General features: G+C 55.1%; 1 long non-coding RNA gene across 1 annotated transcript, besides 5 other annotated features; it reads right to left on the reverse strand.

Moving 5' to 3' along the window:
- Positions 2,475-2,984: an enhancer, noted in NCBI's record as "H3K4me1 hESC enhancer chr3:50560501-50561010 (GRCh37/hg19 assembly coordinates)". NCBI's record gives its function as "activates a minimal SCP1, AML or CMV promoter by ChIP-STARR-seq in primed H9 embryonic stem cells {active_cell/tissue: H9 hESC(primed)}" and the evidence as "EXISTENCE:reporter gene assay evidence [ECO:0000049][PMID:30033119]".
- Positions 4,775-5,412: an enhancer, noted in NCBI's record as "H3K4me1 hESC enhancer chr3:50562801-50563438 (GRCh37/hg19 assembly coordinates)". NCBI's record gives its function as "activates a minimal SCP1, AML or CMV promoter by ChIP-STARR-seq in naive H9 embryonic stem cells {active_cell/tissue: H9 hESC(naive)}" and the evidence as "EXISTENCE:reporter gene assay evidence [ECO:0000049][PMID:30033119]".
- Positions 11,767-12,516: an enhancer, noted in NCBI's record as "H3K4me1 hESC enhancer chr3:50569793-50570542 (GRCh37/hg19 assembly coordinates)". NCBI's record gives its function as "activates a minimal SCP1, AML or CMV promoter by ChIP-STARR-seq in primed H9 embryonic stem cells {active_cell/tissue: H9 hESC(primed)}" and the evidence as "EXISTENCE:reporter gene assay evidence [ECO:0000049][PMID:30033119]".
- On the reverse strand, positions 14,367-19,061 carry LOC105377083 (uncharacterized). The gene is made up of 3 exons (XR_940833.2): positions 19,003-19,061; positions 17,377-17,486; positions 14,367-15,619 (listed from the first exon to the last, which is right to left on the reverse strand). It is a non-coding gene; the product is annotated as an uncharacterized LOC105377083 (long non-coding RNA).
- Positions 17,120-17,361: a silencer, noted in NCBI's record as "fragment chr3:50575146-50575387 (GRCh37/hg19 assembly coordinates)". NCBI's record gives its function as "represses an EF-1alpha promoter that drives an FKBP-Casp9 reporter gene in an ReSE screen in both phorbol 12-myristate 13-acetate-treated (for megakaryocytic differentiation) and untreated K562 erythroleukemia cells {active_cell/tissue: K562 | K562(+PMA)}" and the evidence as "EXISTENCE:reporter gene assay evidence [ECO:0000049][PMID:32094911]".
- Positions 18,859-19,535: an enhancer, noted in NCBI's record as "H3K4me1 hESC enhancer chr3:50576885-50577561 (GRCh37/hg19 assembly coordinates)". NCBI's record gives its function as "activates a minimal SCP1, AML or CMV promoter by ChIP-STARR-seq in primed H9 embryonic stem cells {active_cell/tissue: H9 hESC(primed)}" and the evidence as "EXISTENCE:reporter gene assay evidence [ECO:0000049][PMID:30033119]".

A 25,319-nucleotide genomic window follows, 5' to 3' on the forward strand; every position in this document is an offset into this window, starting at 1 on the left:
TGTCTGCTGACCCTCTCCCCACAATTGTCTTGTGACCCTGACACATCCCTCTCTTCGAGAAACACCCACGAATGATCCATAAATACTAAGGGAACTCAGAGGCTGGCAGGATCCTCCATATGCTGAACGCTAGTTCCCCGGGTCCCCTTATTTCTTTCTCTATACTTTGTCTCTGTGTCTTTTTCTTTCCTAAGTCTCTCGTTCCACCTTACGAGAAACACCCACAGGTGTGGAGGGGCAACCCACCCCTACATCCTGCTCCAGGCCCTGGCTCCCAGATGCCAGAGAGCCTTTCCTCAGGAGGCAGATGGGCAAGGCTCTGGGACTCCAGGAAAGAATGCCCCCGGAGATGAGGCTGGGTTAGCCAGCAGCACGTGGGAGCCTGTCCTGTCCCAGGGGAGCCTTGTGGAAAGGGAAGGAGGGTCTGAGCTGGGCCTTGGACAGTGGCTCTGGCTATGGGTGTGGTGAGTTGCAATGGGAGAGGCTGGGGCAGGAAGCAGCTGGGATTGTCTCAGGAGGGTACAGAGAGGGAGAGGATGGGCCAGCTTCAGCAAGAAGGCCAAGAGAGAGGAGGAGGGTGAATGAGGTACGCAGAGAGAGGAATGAGGCCTTTGGGTAACAGTCTGGAATTCTGGGGTTCAGCCCCAGGGCTCCAGTCCCCCAAGGCATGTCATCTTGGCTGCCCAGGAAAGGAGATGTCAAAGGCAATGGGTATAGAATGGCTGGTGTGGGCTGTGAGCCTCCGGGTCTGTGCAAGCATCTATCAGGCACCAGCTGGGGCACCCTAGTCTCATGCTGATCCTCCAAATTCAAACCTGGCTGAGGGTCCCTGCAGTCTGGTCTAGCCCCAGGGTTTGGGCTGTAGGAGGAGATCCGAGGCTAGGGATTGCAGGGAAGGAGGAAGATGGCTGCCTGAGGCCTCTGGGTAACAGTCTAGAATTCTGGGGTTCAGACCCAGGGCTCCAGATTCCCAATTTGGGGCTCATTTTGCTCCATCATCATAGGCCAAGGCCAGAAGAGGGGCAGTGATGTGTCAGGATGGGGATGGGTCCAGGCTAGCCCACGTCTGATTCTTCCGGTACTGGGGTGCCTGTGCCCAGGCAAGCAGGGCTCTTCCCACATCATCCATCACTAGGCCACAGAAGGCTGGTCAGGATCAATAAACAAACAATTATCCTGTCATCACTGATTGTAGGCCTGGGGCAGGGTGGCAGCTAAGCGGGGAGCACCCGGTAAACGGGAGTTTCTGATGAGAACAACCCACACCTCAGGGGTTGGCTCAGGATGGGGGTGCAGGGGAAGAGGACTGTGGAGGTTGCCAGGCAAGGCTGCCCTACAATGGGGGCAGGGCCCAGGAAGACTGAACTCTGTCTGGTAAGCCACCCCAGGGGGCTGCCTGAAGGAAGCTGGAGGCTGAACTGGACCCACCCCCTCACCCTCTCCCCTCTTTCTGATGTTTCCCTCTTCCCTTTTTCCCCAGCCACCTAAGCTGGGGGCAGGGGCACATCAGGAAAGTTAGTAACTGAGCTATTCCAGTCACAAATTAAGAGTCCTTCTCTGCTGGTCTATTGTACTTCCCTCATCTTGGGATGCCTAAACAGTCAACCAAAATAATAATTTGTCACTGCAGTCCCCCAAGGTATGTCATCTTGGCTGCCCAGGAAGGGAGATGTCAAAGGCAATGGGTATGGATCTGACTGGTGAGGGAGGCAGGAACACCCACAACCCTGGAGTCTGGGTCCCAGCTCCTGAGAAATGTTTGGGGTCTGACCTGGGAATAGAGGAGTTGCACCCTGAACTTCTTGGTGGGTGGGGCAGGGCCAAATCTGCAGACTCAACAGAGAGGAGCCAGAGCTGCACATCTCCCCCAGTTCTGTTCCTTGTCCCATTCCCAGCCCCATGGAAGGGAAATCTCTCTCCATCAGAGGAAAGGGACAAAAGGAGAAGTGATTTATTATTCTATTCCATTATGCCTGTTTCCAGAGAAACTAATTATGGTGCATTGTTGTTTTAGATACTTTCAGAAAGATTACATTTTCTTACTTTGGCCGATAAAAAAATTAAATCCATCACTTTTCCTAAACACATTACAGTAAAGACAGACTTGCTCCTTGTAATTATTAATCAGTCGGATTTGGGGACGCAAAGCGTTTGACTTAAGCTCAATACAGTCATGAACAATGTCCCGGGATCGTATTTGGTATTGAAACAATTTTTCAATTTATTAAAAAGTCATTAAGGCAGTTGGGGTGGGAGGTAAGGAGAGCTGGACTAAGCCGCTGAGTCAGGGTTGTGGATTGGGGGTGTAGAGTCATCAAGGGGCTTCTGCAAGTGGGAAGAAACGCAGTGTGTCTTACTCCTACACCTGGCTCTGAGGGGCCTGCTCAAGTTGAGATGGGACCCTAAGAAGTCAGCCTCAAGGCTGGGCACGGTGGCTTACACCTGTAATCCCAGCACTTTGGGAGGCCAAGGCAGGCAGATCACTTGAGGTCAGGAGCTCGAGACCACCCTGGACAACATGGTGAAAACCCATCTCTACTAAAAATACAAAAATTAGCCAGGCACGGTGGTGCATGCCTGTAGTCCCAGCTAGTTGGGAGGCTGAGGCAGGAGAATTGCTTGAACCTAGGAAGCAGAAGTTGCAGTGAGCCGAGACTGTACCACTGTGCTCCAGCCAGGGTGACAGCTAAAAAAAAAAAAAAAAAAAAAAAGAGTCAGGAATCAGGCCCTGCCCCCACCTCAGCAACCTCATACTATACTCATTCATCTGTCCACGGTCCACTCCTTCGGGTTGTGAGCTCACCGCATGGAACGGTGACAGTAATGTAGTAATGGGTCACTCAGGGGGAACAATTTGCCCTACGGAGCCCTGAGCCCACTCTCCAGTGGTCTTGCACCAAGGACTGACAGTCAGCCTGACTCCCACCCCTGGCAGGGAGAGAGGCCCCTCCTACCAGCTCAGGCCCTTGGAGCCCCCAGCTGGGGACATGTGGCTATTTGGAAGGACACCTGGTGTGGCCGAGTGCCTTGTTCCAGTCGCTGGCCTTGCTCACTCAATCATTTAATTACTCCTCTGACACTTCCTGCTCCCAGGAGGGATTTACAGGGGTTTAGGAGACTGGCAAGCTACAAGCCCAGCTTAGCCTGCGTCCTGGCTCAGGTGGGAGTGGAAGGGCGGCAATAGGACCCAGGCTCAAGTCATAGCTCAGCCACTTGCAAATTGCTGACCTTGGACAAGTTAGTTAAACTCACTGAGCTTCAGTTTCCACTTCTAGCGAAAGGGGTCCTGTCTCCTCACACAGGACAAGGAGGTCATGAGACCTGTGTCTGCCCCTCCTGGGCGGGAGCTCTGTCACATCACCTGTCTCCCTCTCTGCCATCAGGGCAAAGTCTGGCTCCCCGTCAGGGGCTGCTTCTTTTGGTTCCCTCTGACTGGATACCTACCCTCTCCCACGAGCCTTTCTTCTGAATTCCACCCACCCTTCTTCAGGCTTCTGCTTTAATGACCTTCCCCAAATCTGGGTGGGGCCCTCTGGGTATTCCTGCCCAGACTGGGGGAAGATCATTAAAGTAGAGGCCTGAAATTAAATCCACCAGTTTTCCTAAACACATTACACTAAAGACAGACTTGCTCCTTGTAATTATGAATCAGTTGGATTTGGGGATGCAAAGCATTTGACTTAAGCTCCACAGAGTCATGAACAATGTCCCGGGAATGCATGTGGTGTAAGACATGGGGTTCAGAAAAGCCAGGTCTCGTCTCTGACATCCCCCAACAGAGCTGAGACCTGGTACCCCCAAGCCCCATCCACACGAGACTCCCACGCGAGACTTGGACCTTGCCGGATTGGGCAGGCCACTCTTTCTGTGGGTTTATTGGGAGGGTCCAGGACCTCAGAGCCAGAGGACCAGGCAGTGCTGAGCCCTCATAGGATCTCTTGATCCAGCACTGAACGACCCCATCCAGTTTAAGGCCATGCCACCCTGAACGTGCCTGATCTCGTCTGAGAGACCCCATCCAGCAACAAGACCTGCCAGCTCTGCTCTCTGCCCCCAGCTGAGTGCCCTGCTCTGGACCTGCTTCCAGCCCCACTCTTGAGATGCCCACACCCTCCAAGAAACTCAGGACGAGGCAGGGGCTGGGGGCCAGGGCTTGCATTGCCAATGACTCCTGGGTGACCTGAGCCAGCTCTGCCACTGTGTACCTTTGTTTCCTCATAGGTACGATATCCCCACCCCCACCCCATTAGCAGAACAGAGATTGCGCTGGAGATCAAATATCTGAACAGAGGAGAGGACTCCAGAAGAGGAAGGAGGCCCTGGGAGGGCTGAGGTTTGAGCATCAACATAATTGGAGGTGACTGGTGAGGTTGGGGCAGGGTCTGAGCACAGCTGAGCTTCAGGCCTGCCCTGCTTCTGGCTGTCACAGGCCACAGGGCTGCAGAGATGGGCTGCTGGGTGCCTCGATCCTTGGCCCCCGCTCCTGCGTCTCTCACCTGTGGGCAGGTAGAATTGAGCATGCTCCAGATACTCCATTTCTGGGGGATTTATGGAGGATTTTATCTTCCCTCCTTGATCACTGGTGAGGGGAAGGAGAGGGAATGCTTCATTCCCTCCCCTTTAGAGGGGCAAGGAAGAGCAGCCTGGCCACCCTCAAGCTTGGAAAATACTGTCTGAACCCCACATTGGCTAACCCTCCTTCCCCCCATGGGGCCTCATCAGGACCTGGCGGGTACCGGGAGAGGATGGCAGCCATTTAAGCTGTCACCAGCTCCATCAGAGGATTTAAATCACTGACACAGAGTAACAGCACTGTAGATTACAGCGTGGGAGCCACGCGGGCACAGCACAGCAGAGGCGGGGGGAGGGAGGCAGTGAGGAGGTGCGGGCCAAGAGGCATCTTCTTGGCACCTCAGCTGGGGGTTTCTCTGCAGCTGAGGCCATCCCAGCAGGGAGTCCCTGAGCATCCCACCTCCCCCTCCACCCAGACTAGTTCCCCACAGAAGCCCCCACACTACTGGGCTGCTTCAGGGCAGCTGGGAACCTATTCTTTGTGTCCTCCAGATAAGGGCTTGAGGTCTTAACTCATGGACTCTGTACCCAGAGGCCTCACAGTCACGGGCACCCCTGAGAGTGGTGGTGGGGGCAGGGGCACCTGGCAGGGAGCCTGCCTGCTCTTGCTCACAGGCACCCAGCCATTGTCTCTGATTGCATGGTATTAGCCATAAATTACAGCCTTTGGGAGGCCGCATGTAAAAATAAAATAAAATAAATGTCAAAAGACAGAGAAAATGTTGATTCTTCAGGGAGAAGAAAGGATGGCTTGGATAAATTAAAACTTTGAGAGGAAGTGGAGTGTGGGAAGATGGTCCCTGGGACCCAGGAGCTGCTGGGGCATGGTAGGGGTAGCCTGGAGAACATCATCCAGTCTGTCGACAAACACGCTGGTCCTTCCTGAGGTCTTGGCCTATCCAGGCCAATGTGGGGGAAACACAGGAACCATGGGGCCCCACCCATTGTGGGCAGCATAGCCATGAAACTCCGCAGGAGGAACCCCAGGCACTGACTCAGCAGACACGTGGCTGGGCTCAGGCTGGGGCCTGGTAGGGTTGTGGGAACTCTCCATGGTGCTGAGGCCCATCTACCAGGTGAGAGGGCTGCTACCCATCCTGCCCTCCCCGCAGCAGGGTCAGGGGCCCCTCCTTCTTTACCTGAGTCTGGGACCCAGAGAGAGGCCAACAGCCGACATAAGAGCCCAGCTTGCCCCACCCTCTGTTTCCCCTCTGCAAACATTCCTCTTCTGGTCCCTCCTGACCCCCTTCCTTGCCTCTCCCACCAAGAAAGTTAGGGAGATTTTCCAAGGCTGCCTCAGCCAGGGCAGTGGAAAGAGAGACTGATGGATAGACAGAGCCCCTGACTGCCTGGCAGACGGACCACCTCCACAGTGATGTTTCCCCAGTGGGTGGCATTTCTCACTGGAGTCTGATTCAGACCCCAGACCCACATACCTGAAGGCCTAGGCCAGGAGTACAGTCAGCAACCCTGTACCCCTGGGCCTGCAGGGTTGAACTGGGGCAGGGAAGACACTCAGAGCATAAGGGGTGTCAAGCCTAAGGGAACAGATATGAGCCCCTGGGAGGGCTGGCTAATAAGGGCCAGAGTGGCAGAAAATACACACCTCTCACCTCCCCTGCCACTCCACCACACACAACCTGGACCCCCAGGCTGCCCTCTTGGAGGGGCCAAAGCAATTCTGAAGCTACAGCTATTTTTCTAGAGGCTCTGGTTGGGGGACCCATTTGTTTCTTCAATGAGCAAAATACACTAAAAAGGCATCCCACTCCCAGCAACAGCCTCCAGGCCCTTTACTTGACCACCACAGACATGGGGAGGAGGGAGGCTCCAGGCTAGCCATGCTGGGTGCCTATTCCTGTTCTTAAGGGGGTCTCAGCAGGGTCATCTATGGCACACTTGACATGAGGGGCAGATGAACTGGGCGCAGCAAGGGCTGGGTAGCTGGACAGGGCCTGACCTGGCTCCTGCTGGAGGTGGAAGGGGTTCCTGGAGCAAGGGCACCTCCTCACCAGGCCCAGGAGCACCTGCCCCAACCTGCAGCCCCTGGACCCACTCATCAAGCTGCTCCCTCATCCCGAGCCTGCTGCCCAGTCCTGCTTGACCTCAAACTGGCAGGACAGGGCACTGAAGTTGCTCAGTTGGATGGGCCCCAGCATGGCCTCAGCATGGCCTTCACTCTGGTACCTGCTCTTCCATCAGCAAGTGGGCCCAAGTGTACTGTGGCCTGAGCCCCTGACTGGCAACACCTCCTCTGGTGAAGGTTCCCACCTGGCACCAGGCTTCTGGTCTGAAAGATGCCTGCCTTCTTCAAGGTGGGAGGGGAGCTGCCTCTGGTGCCAGGAACCCCCCCAGCCACCGTCCTGCTCAGCATCCCTGTGGCTGGCTATGTTTGATTCTCTACTGGCACTCGAGGCCAAGGTCTAGCCCTGGCCTCTCAACACTTAGGCTTCCCTGAACCTGCAACCCATATCCAGCTGCCTTTGTATGCCCATGCTGAAGACAACTCTAGGACTCAGGAGGTGCTTGGAGTGGGTGTCTCCCCAAGGGCCTCACAGGGACCAGGCCTGGAAGCCCCTTCCTTATTCAATGCCTGCATTCTCCTCAATGTGTTCATCCGTCCCTGATGTCCCTGAGTCATCCTCATCTCCCTGCAACTTGGCCCCCAAGGTGGCCTTTCCCCCACCCCTCCTTCTCTCAGGCTCCCATACCCCAGAGCCTCTGAACCTCCTCCTTTTAGCCCCCTGCCCACTCTGAGCTCCTCTCTTGCCCAGCCCAGGGGCCATACTGGCAGATTTCACCTTGAAGTTCCCTTCTCACCATCTCCATCTCCTGCTTGGCCTTAACTGGAGAAAATCGTTTTCTTTGTGCCTGCCCCTAGCAGTGGGGCCTGAGTGGGTGCAAGGATGGGAATGGGCTATGGCAGGTGGAAATTCAAGTGCTGACGTCCACGGGCCTCCTCTGTCCCCTCTTCCTGCACCCGGACCCCATGCCAACCCCTCCATTCTTAGACCCCAGGCACAGGCCTGGCCTACCCCAATCTACTGCTCATACCTACACTTACCCACCCCTCTCACCCTGGGCTGAACTTACCAAGCAGACCCTCGGGACACCCCCCTACCCAGTGTGAACATACTCCCTACCCCATTGATCACATAACATATGCCTGCATGTCTTTGGACCCCCACTTTGCCTTGTGCTTTACTCTGGGCACACACTCCCAACAAAAATGTGTATCCACAAACCTGTGCATTTGTCCAACACAGGGCTCCAGAAGATCGGAGCCTAGAGACTCCCAGGAGCCTGCCACCCACTAACCCAGTCCGGATGCCTTGCTGTACAGAAGGGAAAGCAGAGGCCCAGAAGGTGGAATGGAAGCAGTCATCCTGAGTGGGAGGTGGAGCTGTCATATCCCAGGGAGGGGTTAGGGGTCCAACTGGTTCCCCTGACTGCTTCAAAGGCAGGTCCCTCTGCTGGGCCACTTGCCTGGCCACATTCCCTCTCCAGCCTCTTTTCCTCTCCAGGGCAAATAAGATTTCAGTGCTCTTCCCTGGGGAGACTCAGCACCCCCCTGTCCCTCAACCTCTGCCCTCCACCAGCTCTCTTTCAGGTCCATCTCATTAGGAAAATCATCTCAGGCCCCAGCCATGTTCCAGAGTCCTAGCTCCAAGCTCCAGCTGTGTGACCTCAGATAGCTCACCTCACCTCTCTGAATGTTCATTTCCTCAGCAGATGAGGAAATAGCAGAGCTGACCTCACATGCTGTCCAGAGGCTGAAAGTATCCCCTGGAAGGAACTTACTGCAGTGGACAGGGTCCTGTAACAACATAATAGTAACACCAACAGCAATAACAAAGCCTCTGCCTTTCCCTACATCCCCCTCTCTGGATCCTCACCTATAAATATCTTTTTTTCTCTATCATACTTCTTGTAAAAGGTGCCTGCATCCTAGCTGCCTCTTTCTGTCCAAGCACATACTCCTACACACTCATGCCTACCCATGGGAGCATGCCCCTCACAGGAACAGGCCACAAATCCACACCCCCGACCTGGCACACACACACATGCTTGAACACATGCATGCACAAACAGTACACAGAATATAATTCATTTGTAAAGGAGACTCCAGTCGTGCTATCCACCTTAAACTAAAATTCAGTACTTCCTGGCGTGGCCCGCTGGGCCTTGATGGAGAGGACAACACTCTGTTCCACATAGCAGGCTGAGCCCCCCTCTCTGAAACAATGGAACGCCAGCCACAGGGGCCTAGTAGGGATGGGTGAGGTGCTGGAGGGGTCATCCCAGCTGTCTCAAGGGATGGATTCTAATGGTCTAGCAGCAGATGTGGGCCCAGAGCAGAAAATGTTCTGGCTTAAGTCATCCCATCTGCAGCATCCTAGAGGGTCAGACAGTCCGTCTCTGATGCTCTATTTTTTTGGGGGTCTTTTGGGAGCAGTGCAGCCTAGGTAGGGGGTAGACTAAGCCACCTCCAACTTCCTGGAAGCCAACCCCCACCTCAATTCCACTTCTCCATCCTTAGCCTCTTCTGCTCAGTCACAGTGGCAATTAAGCAATTCCTTCCCTAACAAAATTTCCCCCATCCCTGCCTGAACTCCACCCCTTTAGAGACTGTGGTCTCTTCCCAAGTACCGCTGGCCTTTGGATAGGCTGTTCTCCTACCCTAAATCAACATTCCTTCCCTTTTTGACCTGGAGAACTCCTCCACAAGATTCAAGGCCCAACTCAAACACTTCTTCCTCCAGGAAGCCAGCCCTGACCCTCCTGGGAACAGCCAAGTCCAGCCAATCAGGGAGGCTAGAGCCATGGGATGGGGCACCCGGAGAGGCCAACTGTCCCTGCCCCACCATGCAGGCCCCTGCAGGCGGGTAGGGGACTCAGATTCAACCCAGGCAATGGTGAGCCATGGAAGGGATTAAGGGGGAGCGGTGTAGTCAATGCAAGGTGCCTGGGTGCGGCTTTAAAAGGACATGCCAGGTCCTTTCCTCACCCTTTCCCTGGGGCTTCCAGTATCACCGTGCTCGGGCCGGCTCAGGGCTCGCTAAGTGAACATTCCTTGGCTGGGGGAGTTTTATGGCCCGTGGTGCTTCCTCTGCAATGGCCTATGCTGTTTACGAACCCCTCTCTGGCTTGGAAATAGACTGTCTTTCCTGAACGATTTTCTCTTTTCCCATTTACTAAACATTGATTTCCCCCCTCCTGCCCCTCTAATAGAGCAGAAACCAATACGTCTTTGTTTGCTTTTCTCGCGCGTTTGGGGCGCGGGCGGCGGCGGGGGGCGCCGGCTGCTGCGGCGGGGCCGGGCGGCTGCTCCGCGCATGTGCACCCGTCCAGGTGGCCCTGCCCTACTCTGCGGCGCCGGCACGGCCGCCCCCGGGCCCGCAGGGTGCCAACATCGGGGCGCAGGGACGCAGGGACGGGGGACAGGGCACGGGGGTGGGGAGAACACGTCGGGTACACAGGGGGGTAGTACCAGGAGCCTGAGTCGTCTGGGGCTGCTGCGAGAGCCGGTAGCAGGGGAAGGCAGCCAGTTCTAGTGGAGTCCCAACTCTTCTGTGCCTGCAATTCCTTTAGTAATGCCTGGCCTCCTCCAGAGCCTCCTTTGAAGTCCAGGTGCTTCTGAATGAGGAGCCCATTAGCGTCTGGGGCTGCATTCAGTAGAAGCCAAGTGGGGCTGAGACATTCATTTCTTCTCTCATGTCTTCAGTCACCAAACATATCAGACCACCTGTTCCAGCCAGGCTCTATGCTGGGGGCTTGGCACGGAGGAGGGGAGCAAGACAGGCGATGGCCCTTCTCCAGGGACTTAACTGCAGGCCCCATACTGCCTTCTTCTCAGAAGGGGTAGGGGTGGGGATAATTCCCAGACTAGGGCAGGCCATCCTCGTTCCTGGAGAAGGAGGACCTCTGGTAGGGGTGAGAGGAGCATCAGATTCCCAAGGGTGAGACCTTGGATGCGGCACTGCCCCTCTCTGAGCCTCTGGGGCTCATCTGCAAAGCAGGATTACAATAGCTCCTCCTGAACAGGGTGGCTTCAGGGATTAATTGTGGCCTTGCCCAGCACTGTGCCTGGCACAGAATAGATGCTCAATAAAAGTTTCTTTCCATCCTGAGCCTGTCCTCCTTTTCACCTCACTGAAGAAGTGAACAGACCAGGGCAGGGAGGAAGGGTAACTGGGTACAAGAAAACCTCAGTCGCCTATGACCACAACCTGATTCATACGTTCCCGGGCTGGCTGGTAGAGCACCCTTCCCCTGCAGAGGGGGGCCTATCTCCCCATCACCAGGGAGGCTAGGGAACCTGGCAGAAGAAGCACTGGGTAGACCAGGATTCACATGTGACCTTGGCGGCTCTCTTCCCATTGTGGGCCTTGGGGTGTCCATCTGGAGCATGGGTCCAGCATGCAGGGGAGCTGACACTGCTGGCCAAGGCTGGTGCTGCCCATCCCAACCCCCAGAGCATCTGGATTCACCAGCATCTACTGACCCCACCAACACAGCCCTGGGTTCAATCAAATCCTACCCTGCCCTTAACCGCTGTGGGACCTTGAGCACACTCCTTTCCTCTCTGGGGCTGCTGGAGGGTTCCTACTTCATAGGGTTGCTCTGGAGATCAAATGGCATGAGGGAGCCCAGTTTCTAAAACCCAGTAAGGACTCCTTTGGTGGAGAGGGTGGAGATGCTCAGAGAGAGGAGGAGTGGGCCTGCGTAAGAAGCCCCAAAGGAAGGGTGACAACTACACCCCTGGCCTCCCTGCCCACTGGTTATGTGATTTCATGTCCACCCAGAAGCCGTAACAACCTCACAAGCCCTGTGAGGAGCCATGCAGAACCTGTGGTTTGTTCCCATTCACAGATGAGAAAAGTGGGAGCTCAGAGAAGGGAAGATCTTGCCCAAGTCACTCCGCAAGAGAGAGGCAGAACCCAGAACAGAGCCCAGGCCTCTGACTCCAGGTTGGGGGTCTGTGGTCATTGGATAGGTCAAGGAGAAGAGAGGGTACATCTGGCAGAGATGCCTGCTGAGTGCAAAGGCCTGGAGGCAGGAATGTGTGTGACATCAGCTGGGAGAAATGAGGGTCAAGTTTAATTTTGAAACTTCTCAGGAAGTTGGCTGTGGCTGGTTGTTTGTGACCAAATAAAATACAGAAGGGGCCTTCGCAGAAGGGAAAACCAGAGGTTTCAAGGCAGACACATGGGAAGGACTGAGGTCAGGGCAGATGCAAAGAGGGACTTGCGGCAAAAAATCATACTAGGAGACTCATAGACAGGCTGATAAGCACAGGCGGGCAGACAGAGGGATGAACAGACAAATGAGTGGATGATGGACAGAGGGATGGACAAGTGGACCGGCCAATTCGAACAGTCAGAGAGCACTGAGCAGGATTCAGCTGAGCCAGGAGGAGAAAGGGAATCGCTAGGGGCACCGGAGTGAGCAAAGGCTTGGAGGGGAGGCTGCTAGTGACCTCTGGGCTAGGGGCAGTAGGGGAGGAGGCTGGTGTCCTATTATAGTACATCGCAGAGGCCCAAGGCCATGAGGAAAGCAGAGCTGGAGGGGCAGGTAGTTGGGAGGTGGCTGTGATCCCCCCCAAGTACCCCCACCTAACACAGGCAGCCCTCCCACAACACAACAAAGGCAGTACTCAGGTAGGTCTGGTCATTCACATCCCCCAAGGATCACTGCACCCTGTACAGTCAGTGACTAATGTGTGTTTGGAGCATGAACTTGAATCATGATGCCTTTGTTGCACCAGGGGCCAGGTGTGCGGTCTGCCTCTGGAGTAAGGCTGAGACCGACTGGGACAGAGGGGGGGCAGGCGGTGGGCAAGCCTTGGCTACTAGGAGGGAACTGGCCACAGCCACAGGCACAGGGAGCCTCAATAGGGGCCTGGACCAATTAGGATGGAAGGGGAGGCAGCAATAATTAAAAATTAAAAACCAACAAGACAGCAGTTTAAAAATGAAAGGACTGAGTAAAAACAATTAGCAGAGATGAGGCAACGGGGCTGGCATGATACAAATGGAGCCGATCACAAAGCACTAATGACATCGGAAAACCCAATTTTTACAGTGTCAGGACTGAGTGATTAAAGCACTGTGCCTGCTCCCCTGAAACAGGCCGCATGCTCCCCTGAGGCCGGTGGGACTTTATCTCCCTCTATACGTCTCAGAGGAGCCAGCAGGCAGGTGCAGAGGCTGGTGGGAGAGGCTTGGAGGCAGGAGGCCTAGGAATGGCGCTGGGAGGCTGGGAAACCAAGGCAAGGGCTAGAGGGAGGCAGATACCGCCCCCTCGGAGTGTCCCCACCAACGAAGGCAGTGGTGGTGAAGTCACAATCCTAAGGCACCCGGTTGCCGCGGAGACCAGGCGACCCTCCTGGCAGGGGGAGGCTGAGTCAGTTTGAGTAATGGCGGAGAACGTTGCCGCTGATGGGGAAAAATACATCTTCATAACAGGGTGAACCTTTTGGAAAATGGAATAAGTAAAATAATTGAGAGAAAGAAAATTGAGTTTTTATTGCTTTTTAAGTGTTTAAGTGGAGGTTTCATTTAGGGAAATTATCGTTGCTTTTATTTTTAGCCACCCGGTGGGGTGGGGAGGGGTAAGGAAGCATTGATTTAGGGAGGGGCTTGGGTGTCCTGTCCCTCCCCCCAGGAGTTGCAGGGCACCCTCATTTCACAGAAGAGAGAAGAAGCCAGAGGCCAGCAGAGCACCTGAAACTGGCCACAGAGCATGGCAGAGTGCCCTCTGGATCCCCCTTGCCTTCTGGGGCCTCCTGGGCCTGCCGTCAGGCCAACCCCTGGGCCTCCTCTCTCATCAGTCCCCTGACCCAGCCCAACTCCAACTCATTCTGTGCTTCTGCCCTTGCTGTGCTCCCTCCTCCCTGGAGCCTCAAGAGCTCTTTCTGCCCTGCAACCCCGGTCTCTCTCCCCAGCCTGGGATGCACCTGGTCCTCCCCCAAGCTCCATGCTCCCCTGAGTCCCCTGACACTTCTCTTAGGATTTCCTGCCCCTCCTGCCTGGTCCTGTGCCTCCTGTCCCCAGCCCTGGCAGCAGAGGTGGGGAGGGACTCTCAGAGAGTCCGCGGAGCACATGTCCACGTCCGCAGTGTGCTGTTCAAGCCTCCCAGCCCCCTCTGCTGAGCCCCGGCGTCCTCAGCCTCATCCATACTTATCCCATTCTTCCTCCTGCCCAGCCCTGGCTGTGACCCTTCCACACCCCAGAACTGGCTCAGGCCAAGATCACCAAAGACCCTACTGGGCAAATTCCATGATGGACGAGGTGAGCTGCTTCTCCAGACCCCACTGCCCTCCCCCAGCTCCATGTCTGGCAGCTACCTGGGGCTGTGTCCTGAGCCTACTCTCGTACTCCCTTCTTTGCCCCTAGGATTAGCCTCTTCAAGGCTCTGTTCTTCCTAAGGTCTCCTAGACGTTCTCCTGGTCCCAGGATGGAACCCTGTGCTGGCTGCCCCCTTCGTTTTCCGCTGGCCCCACCCACTCCCCCTCTCACACAATCCCCTCTTGCTCAGCCAACCCCTGATCCACTCACTCCACAGACCCCCTCATCTCTGGCCAAGGCAGCTGCTCCGGAAGCTCCTGGCCCGCCACCATTTACGCTTCCTGCCCCAGCAGCTACTTCCAATTCCAGAACAGCAGCATGGAGCTGTTCTCAGTCCGGGGCCTGTGCCCATGCTGTTCTCTATGCTTGGGAAGCCTCAGGCCATGAGTCAGGAGGCAAAGACCAAGACTCAAGTTACTTCAGCCGTAAAATGGAATTTATTGGCACAAGTAGTTTAAAAATCCAGGTCTGTGAACTTGAGGTATGGCTGGATACAGGTGCTCAAATGTTATTACTGTCACTTGGCCTCTTGCCTGAATGTGAACTCCATGCCCAGCCAGGCCTCCCCCATTCTGCTCCTCAAGGCACCTCATTCCCTGACCCCTCAGCTGGAGCCCCAGCTTTGAGTCAGCCACATCCACATGCCTGTCCTGGAAAATCACCATGGGCCTGGAGATGAAGGAAGCTGATTGGCCAGGCCTACGTCAAGAGGGAGGCATGTGTCTGTTCCCAATGCATGATGATGGGGTCAGGGGTTCCCCAAAGACAACTGAGAGTGAGCACCCGAGCATGCCCCGGCTTCTGCCGAGCCTCCATAGTGCCTCAACTCCCCTTCTTTGGTTAACTCCTTGAGGGAGTTAATTCTCTTCCTGTCTCACCTCCCCCTAGGCTGTGAGCCCAGAGGCAGGAACCAGGCTGTCCTGTTTACCACAGGATTCCCAGTGTCCATGAGTGAGGGGGAGCCCTTCATGGTACAGACGGGGAAACTGAGGCAGGGGCTTAGCTGAGATCACACATCCACGTTCATGCCAAGGCGCCCTGTGCTCTGCCCTCATGCTGTCTTCACTGTACCAACCCTCCATCTCCCATATCTCTGTGTCATCTGCCCCTGGCCCAAACCACCCCCATTCCTGGTGTGGTCTCCAGCTCTGCCTGTCCATGTATCCCTCTTGCCTAAACTCCTGTGGTGTCCGCTCTGTTCTCTACCTCCTCAGTGCTGAAGCTGCCTTATGCTAGCCCCTGCCCAGCCCACCCCTGCTCCCAAGGCCCTGGTGGACCTATGGACACTGGCCTCTCTTGTCCCCACAGACAAGGTGCCATCTCTGGGGGATATTCTCGTAGGTTCTCTGCCTATGCTGTTGCCCTCCCCAGGGCCTGAGTACCTTTTCTCCCTGGCCTTCTGCTCCAAGCTCTCCTGCTTCCCAGGTTAGCTGCCCTTATTCTTTAAGCCATAGCTCAGGGGTCACAGAGAAGCCTTCTGTGGTCCCCCACTGTCCCCTCCTCTGCTGTAGGATATCTGTCTGTGTTTGCATGTTCTCCCCAGGGAGGCTGTGCCCCCTCGAGGGCGGCCAGCGTGTGATTCCTCCTGGAGTCGGCCCATGTCAGACCCTGAGCTGGTGCTCAGCAGCTCTCGGTGCGTGTTCATTGAATGAATGGATGACCTTCCAGTGACGGGGCCTTCACATCTGGGGCCAGTTCTGCTGGTGAACAATGGGGCATGGTCAAAGATCCTCCTCGGCACCCCCAGCAGAGCCCACAGGGTCAAGTTCTGTGCACATGCTCGGGGCTAGCAGGACCACAGAAGAGGTTGTGAGCCATCTGGGAAGCTGGGTGATAGACCCATCCTGACCGCTGGCCCCTGCCCCACCAGGAGAGAACCCCTGGGAAGCTGAGGAGACACAAGCTTGTCCTGTTGCTGGCCTTGGTTCTTCCTTACATCTTTCCCATTCTCTCTGCCACCAGCCAGTCCCCTCCTTGCCCCCTTGGTCAGTGGCCTTGGTCCTCGTAGTTCCTTTCCTCTCCTTTTGGCTTCTGCTCCCCTCCGCAGGGTGCATGGCACATCCCACTCCAGCAGCCACCCCCTCCCATCTTTCCCTGCCAGTTCCCCACCCACTCCCTGCTCAGCCTCAGCCTCCTGCAGCCCTGTCTCTCCTCTCCACTAGGCACGGCTGCTTTCCTCCAACTTAAGTTGAATTGATCTCCTGCTTAATTACCTGATGTGTTCATTGCCTGCATGGCCTATTGGCAGAGGTGGGTGAGCTGGTGGGCAGGTAGAGAGCTGGGATGGCTCAGACCTTCAGTGGGCACCTGCCTGTGCACCTGGGAGTGCAGCAGTGTGGGTGTGCTTCCCTGGGATGCCAGGGCAGCAGAAGAGGAGTGCATGCACCCACCCACACATGCATACACACACACACACACACCCTTGTGTTTCCACATGGGTAACACCCTAGCACAGTCACACCCCACATCCCACGTGGCCAGCCATGGGTGCACACAGGCACACACACACACACACACGTCACCATCTCCCACACACACATCTATACTGGCTGACTGTGCTTCCAGCTGCAGCCAACAGCTGTTATTACTATCCTGTCCTGGGCCTGGCATTCAAGGCCTCCATGATCAAACCTCAACAGACCACTCCAGCCACACCTCTCTGAGATATCCCTGGACACAGCAGAGGCTGAGGCACCTTCGGGACAGGGCTGGAGGGGTAGGAGCTGGCCAGCTGCAGGCCTGGCCAGAGAAGTGGAGGCTCTCCATCTCTACCCATCAGTCTGTGTGTCTGTGGGGGTGTCAGTCACCCCGGGGGAGCCCCTGGGGCAGACACTCTGAGCAGGTCTCCCACTCACACATCATCTCCCCTCCTCTGACACCCTGTGCCAGGCAGCACCTGGACTCTCACCTGCCCTGAGCTGATCCCAGGAACTGGAGAAGAGGTGGGGCACAGGGAAGGCACCTCCTGGAGGAGGCAGAACTCAGGACAGTGAGCCCTTGCTGAGTACCTATTATGTGCTGGAGCTTTCACACCACGGTTGAAGTTGGTTGTTATCACAGTCCTTCCAGTCATTCTGTCTCCTGCCCACACAGCCCCCATTTCTCCCTCCTCTTGAACACAAGGAATGAGCTCCTCAGGGAGCACACCTCCCAAGTCACACCCAGCCTGCTGGAGCCTCTTCAGTTTCCCTGTCTGTGTTTGCAAGGTCAGGGGTAAAACCAAACTGCATCTCTTTTTCCGGGGGGTGGAGTGTCATTGTCCTTTCTGCTCACTGCTAACCTAGGTTCATCTTGCTGCTTTCAACAGTGATACTCTCTGGTCCTGGCTCCTATGGGCAATGTCTGGTATACCAGGCCACTGCTGAAGTCTTCACATGCCCTGTGGCAGAGGCATGCCCCATGACCCCATTGAGCAGATGAGGAAAGTAAGGCTTTGGGAGTTTAAGTGACTTACTGGGGAGCTCACAGGTAGAAAGTAGCTGTGGCAGGAATGGATCTTGGTCAGGTCACCAACTGGGCTGGGTCTGCACTCCACACCCTGGTACAGATGGGAGGATTGAAGACCTGAGGCCAAGAAAGAAAGCTGCGTGGTAGCCCCCAGCACTGGGACGCTCCACGGTGTGCGGTATGTGGTATTCGGTGCATGGTATTGTTGGGGCTCAAGCAATACGACTCCAGCCAGACGTGGTGACTCACGCCTGTAATCCCAGCACTTTGGGAGGCTGAGGTGGGTGGATCACCTGAGGTCAGGAGTTGGAGACCAGCCTGGCCAACATGAAGAAACCCCGTCTCTACTAAAAAAACAAAATTAGCCGGGTGTGGTGGCGCATGCCTGTAATCCCAGCTACTCAGGAGGCTGAGGCAGGAGAATCGCTTGAACCCAGGAGAGGGAGGTTGCGGTGAGCTGAGATCGCGCCATTGCACTCCAGCCTGGACAAGAGCGAAACTCCGTCTCAAAAAAGAAGAAAAAAAAAAAGAAAGAAAGAAACATGACTCCAGAATACGGCACCTTGCAGGTCACTCTGCCCTTCTCCAGCCCTCCTTTTTTTCCACTCCCTTTTCTCCCCGAAAGTGGTCATAGGAACTAGAACCCCTCTCCTAGCCAAGCAAACCATAAAACCTAGAAAGGTCACTTTCTGACTTCCTCCCTTCTCTTGTAAAGGTCCTCCTGAGACAGGGGTTCTGCCCCTGGGCAGGGGCGAGAGCACCTCTATCATGGAGAGACCCAGTAAGAAACCTGAACAAATGGGTCTTGCTGAAGCCCTGCTCCCAGCTTATTAGCATTAGGCCATGCCCTTTTGCTTTAAGCATTTCTCCACAACTTCTTTCATCAGACTTAGCATAAAAATATTCTGTTTTCCCAGGTCCTTGGATCTTCATTTCCTCAGGCTCCCCAGTCATTAAAACTTTGGTGAAATCAATGTGTTCTGCTTTTCTGTCAATCTGTCTTTTGTTATAAGGGTGTCAGTCACGACCCTTGTGATGGGTGAGGGAAGATGTTCCTTTTCCTCTCCTGACCTGGAAGACAAAGCTTCCTCCTGAAGCCTTCCTGAGGGCTCCAGCTCCCAGGGAGCTCATTCAGGCTGCCAGGCCAGACACAAACCCTTTGGGTCCCAGCCCACATTTGCAAGGTAAACGTGCCCCTTCCTATACCTTCTCATCTCCACCATAAAACAGCCCAGGGGGCCTCTGTTTGTTGGGTGTAATTAGCTGTTTCTCCCTCACTTGATCACAATTAGATTCCGGTTTAGAAGAAAGCAGCCAAAGGGGTCTCTGTGCTGGGGCCTCTTAGGCTGACCTGGGGTAACTGAGTGCAGTGGCTGCCCCCGACCCTGCAAATCCCTCCTCTCCCCTAGGGAGGACGGGGGAGGAGAGGATGAAGGAAGGAAAGGCAGGAAAGGGAAAGAAGCAGGGGAAGCAGGGGGAGGAAGAAAAGAGGGAGACAGGCAGATAGGAGGGCAGGCTGACTGGGAGTGGGGAGGAGGAGAGGGAAAGGAGGAGGAAGGTGAAGAGAGGAGAGGAAGAGGGAGCGGAGGAGCCCGGGAGACGGGGGTGGGGAGGGGGGAGAGGACATACCAACCTGACCTGCGGGGAGGCTGGAGGGAGGGGGAGCCCGGGCCACAGGGGAGTTGACGATGGCTGCAGGAGACAGATAAGGTTGGGGAGAAAGGCGCAGTCACTGATGGGAGGGCAGGGATTAGGGGCTCAAGGGCCTGTCCTGGGCCTGTGGGTGGAAACCCAGGAAGAAGGGCGGCTGCCCTAGTGAGATGGGAGAAGGGAGGAGGAAGCTCTCGCTTCAGGGTACCGCTGTGCCCTTGTTGAGCCAGGAGAAAGGCCTCCCACACCTACCCATCTCCACTGCACAGTGAGCTGTCTAAGCAGACCCAGGCCTCTGGACCTGGGCAGGGTCAGGAGGGACAAGACAGATTCCCTGAGCTCAGGGCTCTCCTCCAATCAAAGAAGACAAGTTACAACCCATCCTCCACGAGCCTGGAATGATAACACCTCAACAGACATGCATGTCAGCTCACGGAGGCAACAGGGACTATCCCTGCCCTGCTGGAGCCTGGCCCATTGCGCACGTGTGTCCTTTGCAGCCGTGTCCTCACACGTGCTTGGCCACATGTGGTCTCTCAGATTCCCACACTCGGCTTGGTGCCTGTAGCCTCTCACCTGGGGCAGGTAAAGACAGGCCCACACCAGCCTGTGTGGCATGCTGTCATTCTCAGAGGCAGATTTTGGGGACACCCCCATTCTCCCCCTCCAGGGCAGGACAGTGGCCTCTCACGGAGGCCCATGGCCCGTGGGCCTTGGGCTTGAGACAGGCCTGAGGCTCCCCGAGCCTGCACTGGTCATGTGGCTGGGCCTGGGGAACCAAGTCCGTCCTGGCCAGAAGAATATAGCTCTGTGTGGGTAGGGGTGGAACCCTGGCCTTGTTCACCATGCTGAGCCCAGTGCCCAACACATGGTAGGCCTGCAGTGGGCAGTCGCAGATGTCTGGGGTGGATTAACCCTGATGTGTTAGAAGCTGGGTCTTCTGGGGGCTTGGAGGGAAGGGGTCGCTCCTCTAAGCCCCTGCAGACTGTGCAGGGGCTGCCTGATTTGGCCTCCTCCTGGGGAGTCCAGCTGATGAGACTGAGAGTGGAGGAAGGGCTGCCCAGTGTCAACCTCATGGAATGGAGACAGCACCTGCTGGCCGAGGGCCTGGCTGCTGGGAGCAGTTGATGGAGATAAATGATTCCTGTCTGAGGTGGAGGTCAGGGCCTGGCAAGGCAGCCTTGGGCCTGAGGGATGGCTCTGGGCTGGGCCAGGGAGTCAAGGAGACCTCTTGCAGTGGATCTTCCTGGGCAGCTGGGACCCAACTCTCCGTAGCCTATGGGGGCCATCCGCCCACCCCACCCTCCCTGACGCAGGGGCTGAGAGTATCAGCAGAGGTCGGCTGGCTCTGCCCTGTCTCAGGTTGGAAAGCTGAGCCCTGCCAGGCCCTCAATTGCACTGTGGGTCAAGCCTCCGCCAGAGCAAGGAGTGGTGGGTTTTCCCCATTTGTCAAGTGGACCAAGAAAGACCTCAGGGCAAGGACTAGGCTGCTGGAAAGGCCTGGTCCCAGACCTTGTTCATTTCTTCATTCATTCATTCCCACATCTGCCCCTGCTGTCCTTTCTGGCCTCTCCACGCAGTAAGGCCAGGCCCTCCCCTCTGCCCTGGCATTTCCTTGCCCATGCCGCTCCCCTCCTGCCACATCAGCTTCCTGCTGTTTCCCCAAGAATCTTCTGGACCTTTGCTTTTGCTGTTTTTTTCCCCTCATCTGGAACCCTTCTGTCCCAGATCCCTGCATGGCCAGCAACTCTTGACATTCAGGTCTCAGCCAGTGCTGAAGGTGCCCTCCCTCCTTGATCGCCATCAGAATCTGCCCCCTCCATTTTTATTCCCATGCAGTCCTGGTTGGTTTCCTCCAGAGCCTGAAAATGCCTTGTTTTGTTGACACACCTGTTTATTATCTATCTCCCCTTAGCACTGGGGAGCCCCAAAGAGGAGGCACCTCACCAAGCCTTGCATAGGAACCGAGGTCCCAGCTGCTTTCCCCACCCATCCATGAGTGCCTGAGTCCCCATGGTCATTCAGGTCAGCATAAGGCAGGCCCTGGTCATGGACAGGAAACAAGAGGAGTGTTTCCAGGGCAACAGGCTGCCCATCTCTGAGGGACTCCATGTAAAGGCTTATGGGTTTGGATCTAGGCTCTCAGAGGGGGTTCAGATGGCCAGGACCCAAGGACCTTGCACACCCAGAAAGCAGGTTCCTTGAGCCCTGCCTGGGCTGGCCCCTGTGGCTGGAACCCAGAGGGGGGTGCATGTAGATATTAGCAAGTCAGGGCACCTCCACCCCCAATGATGGAGACAAATGAGAGGGGTATGGAGCTGTAGTGGACTATGAGGAGGTTGGTGCAGCCTTATTGATGCAGGGGTTGTGAATGGGGACAAGATGGGGCAGAGGAGGGCACAATATGTTGGGAGAATCCATAAACCCTCCTGGACACCGCCCTCTGTGGGGAGGAGGGGAGGTGTGCTCCACAGGTGTGTGTGGGGTGGTGGGGGGGGTAGCTCTGGGGCCCAGCTCAGCTCAGCCCATGGGAGGCCAGTGCCAGAGCCTTTACCACCACCCTGGTGCTGAGCCCTGGGTGGGTAACCAGGCAGGGGCAGTGGAGGAGCCAGCCAGGTCCTGGCTCCTCTTCTCTCCCTCTACACTCCCTGCCTCCTTGGGCTCCAGGAAGGGTCCTCTCTGGTTGACATCTGAGAATTAGTGGGCCTGGTCAGTGTGGGCATCTCAGGGGGCCTAGACCCTGAGGCTCACCCTAGTAGCATCCAGTCTGTTCCTCCAGCTCAGCTACTGCCCCAGCAGCTTCTACAGGGGTGGGGCTAGGAAGGGAGCCAGGGCCACAGGCCCCTCATTCCTCTGAGATTGAAGGGGTTCCTGTGCCTGGGGGAGTGGGGGGGCATGACCCCATCTTTCCTCAACTCTTTGGAGGACCTCAGAGTCTCTTTGGAGGTTAAATCCACAGCTCCAAGGAGGGGATGGAGTGAGGCAGAGTAGGGCTTGCACTGCTGCCACCTGGTGGCTGAAAGACGTAAAGCACCTAAAACACCTGCTATTCCAGTTCCCAGAAGGAATTGGAGAAGGCAGTGGAGGGAAGGATGCTCCTGAGGGAGCAGAGGCACAGGGAGGTAGAATATGCACTCCTTGCTCCAGGTCAGCATCCTGGCCTGCAACCTTTGCCCTCACTCAGCTTGGTTCAGAGCCTCCCCAGGTGCCATCAGACATTTGCCCACCATAGCCTTCCAGAATGCTAGCAAGGCCAATCTAGCATCAGGGATGCCTGTCTGGCCTCTACTATACTAAGGGGAACAGAGGGCCCAAATGACATCCAGGGGCACACACAATGGGTCTTGGTGTATGGAAGAGAGGGAAGAGTGGGATCTGGGAGGCAGGCAGGGAGAAGGTGGAGCTGGGAGGTGGGTGCGGCCTAGCCGGGCCCTGCCTGCCCTGTCCTCGCCTTACTCACAAATGCTGCTGGTCTTCTTCTTGCAGGACCTGGATTGAGTCCCATGAGGCTCTCCTCCACACCCCATTGTCACCTACTTGTGTCATAATACACCACCCCTAGTTCCAGAGCAGGGGCAGGGGTGGGGGGAAGAGGGGAGGCTTGCTCAGGAACCCCCAGCAGAGGGCCCTCAGGAAGGAATATAGTTCCTTTCTACACCTCAAGCTCAAGATTATGGCATGGGGCCAGGCACGGTGGCTCACACCTGTAATCCCAACACTTTGGGAGACCAAGGCAGGTGGGTTGCTTAAGCCTACGGGTTGGAGACCAGCCCGGGAAACATGACAAGACCCCATCTCTCCAAATAAATTTTTTAAATATTAGCCAGGCACGGTGTTGCATGCCTGTAGCTCCAGCTGCTCAGGAGGCTGAGGTGGGAGTATCGCTTGAGCAGGGGAGGTCAAAGCTGTAGTAAGCCGAGATTGCGCCACCGCACTCCAACCTGGGGTGATAAAGTGAAACCCTGTCTAAAAAAAAAAAAAGAAAAGAAAAAAAAAGATTATGTCAAAGTCACAAAGTCTACTGAAGGAATTGTGATGTGGCAGGCAAAGTTAAAATTGGGTACAAAAATGGACTGCTCCTGGAATCCAAGGGAAAAGTCAAGTGCAGTTCCTCCCATGGACCTTTACCTCCTTTTCCTCAACCTCCAGGAGGTAAATCCCACCCAGCTCACCCTGTCCTACTGGGGATGGTGTCCTGACAAAGTTTGCCCCTTTCCACCCACCAGGCAACAGGATGTGCTATTTCCCCTGTCATACACTTCCTAAAGTCTCAACAACTCAGTCAAGCATAACCTCTGGGAAAATATGGTGTTGAAATCACTGGATGATAATCTGGGGGTGGAAATCCACTTGGACCCCTACCTCACACCTTAAAACAAAAACCAGTTCTAGCTGGATCAAAGGTAGGGGGACTAAAGAATGAAGAAAAAATCTCTAGGCAAAAACAAAGGTTTGATTTGGTCTAGCCTTTTCTAAATATAACAAAAAACACAAAAGCCGTAAGAGAAAACATGGATACACCTGACTCCACAAAAACCAAACATTTCTACACGGAAAAAAGTAATAGCCAGGCGCGGTGGCTCACACTTGTAATCCTAGCACTTTAGGAGGCCGAGGCGGGTGGAACACAAGATCAGGAGTTCGAGACCAGCCTGGCCAACACAGTGAAACCCCATCTCTACTAAAAATACAAAAATTAGCTGGGTGTGGTGGCGAGTGCTTGTAATCCCAGCTACTCGGGAGGCTGAAGCAAGAGAATCGCTTGAACCTGGGAAGCAGAGGTTGCAGTGAGCCGAGATCATGCCATTGCACTCCAGCATAGGCAACAGAGCTAGATTCCATCTCAAAATAAATAAATAAATAAAAGTTTAAAGACAAACAACAAGTTAAGGAAAAAAATGCAAATTTCATAATATATAAAGGGTCCTTATAAATTGATAAGGAGAGGACCAAGAATCCCATTGAGAAATGGGGCAAACAAGATGAACATACAGTTCACACAAAAGGAAATCCAAAAGTCTCAACCACTGAACCCATGCTTACCCTCATTTCTTTAAGAGAGATGCAAATTATATAGGCAAAGCCATGAAAGATTGATGCACTTGCTGGTGACCATGGGGAAAATCAGAAACTTAGAGTTGCTCATTGGAATGTAATCTGTGCAGCCTTCATGAAAGCAATTTGGCAATATCTATCAAAATTAAAAATGCATAGACTATTTGACCTAGCACTGCCCACTTCTAGGAATTTATTTTACAAACTGACACGCATGTGAAATTATGCCCAAGGTGTTCACTGCATGATGTTTCTAAGAGTAATCGATTGGAAACAGCCTACTCCAGGAAGCCTGGCTGAGTGGATAGGGAGCTTCCTCACCATATATACTCTGCAATTACTGGAACCAATAAGGGGGAGGCAGAGCCACACGTAGGGCCATAAGGACAAGGTATAGTATATGTATTGGATGGTGACCTCATGTTTTTTAAAAGGAAGAAGGGTAAGTGTTCCCAAACACTGCCAATGTCCCCAAGGCCTCTTGGCCCCATCTCCCAGGAAGCTGAGCTGCACAGGTGGCATTCGTCTGGCTCTGCCCTCTGGCGTCCAGTTGGATCTGGACAATGGAGTCCCCCAGGAGTTTAGCAGGCAGGATGGGGAGGTTGTGTTTATTCCCTTGGCCCTTTCCAGTCCACCCTTCACTTGATTTTTCTGACCCAGAGATCTGGTCACATCTCTCCCTGTTCAAAACACTCTGTGGCTCCCCATTGTCCTCTGGATGGAGGTCAGGAGGTCAGATCCTCACCACTGCTTTTTTTTTTTTTTTTTTTTTTTTGAGGCAGAGTCTCGCTCTGTCACCCAGGCTGGAGTGCAGTGGCGTGATCTTGGCTTACTGCAACCTCTGCCTCCCAGGTTCAAGCTATACTTATGCCTCAGCCTCTCGAGTAGCTGCGACCACAGGCATGTGCCACCACGCCCTGCTAATTTTTTCATATTTTTAGTAGAGATAGGGTTTCACCATGTTGGCGAGGCTGGTCTCGAACTCCTGACCTTAAGTGATCTGCCCACCTCGGCCTCCCAAAGTGCTGGGATTACAGGCGTGAACTGCTGTGCCTGGTCCCCACCACTGCTTTTGAGGGTCTGCTTCTGTTGGCCACCCATCCTGTAGACTCCCTAACCTTTCCCAGGTTCCTGGTCTCAGCCCAGTTCCCACCATCTGCAACCCTCCTCCTGCCCCCTTTGAGGGGACAGTCTCAAAGGACCTCCTTGTCCTCCCCTGGCTGCTGTGCTCCTGCCCTCAGTGTC

This window comes from Homo sapiens, chromosome 3 (assembly GCF_000001405.40).
Source record: "Homo sapiens chromosome 3, GRCh38.p14 Primary Assembly".
Classification (NCBI taxonomy): Eukaryota; Metazoa; Chordata; class Mammalia; order Primates; family Hominidae; genus Homo; species Homo sapiens.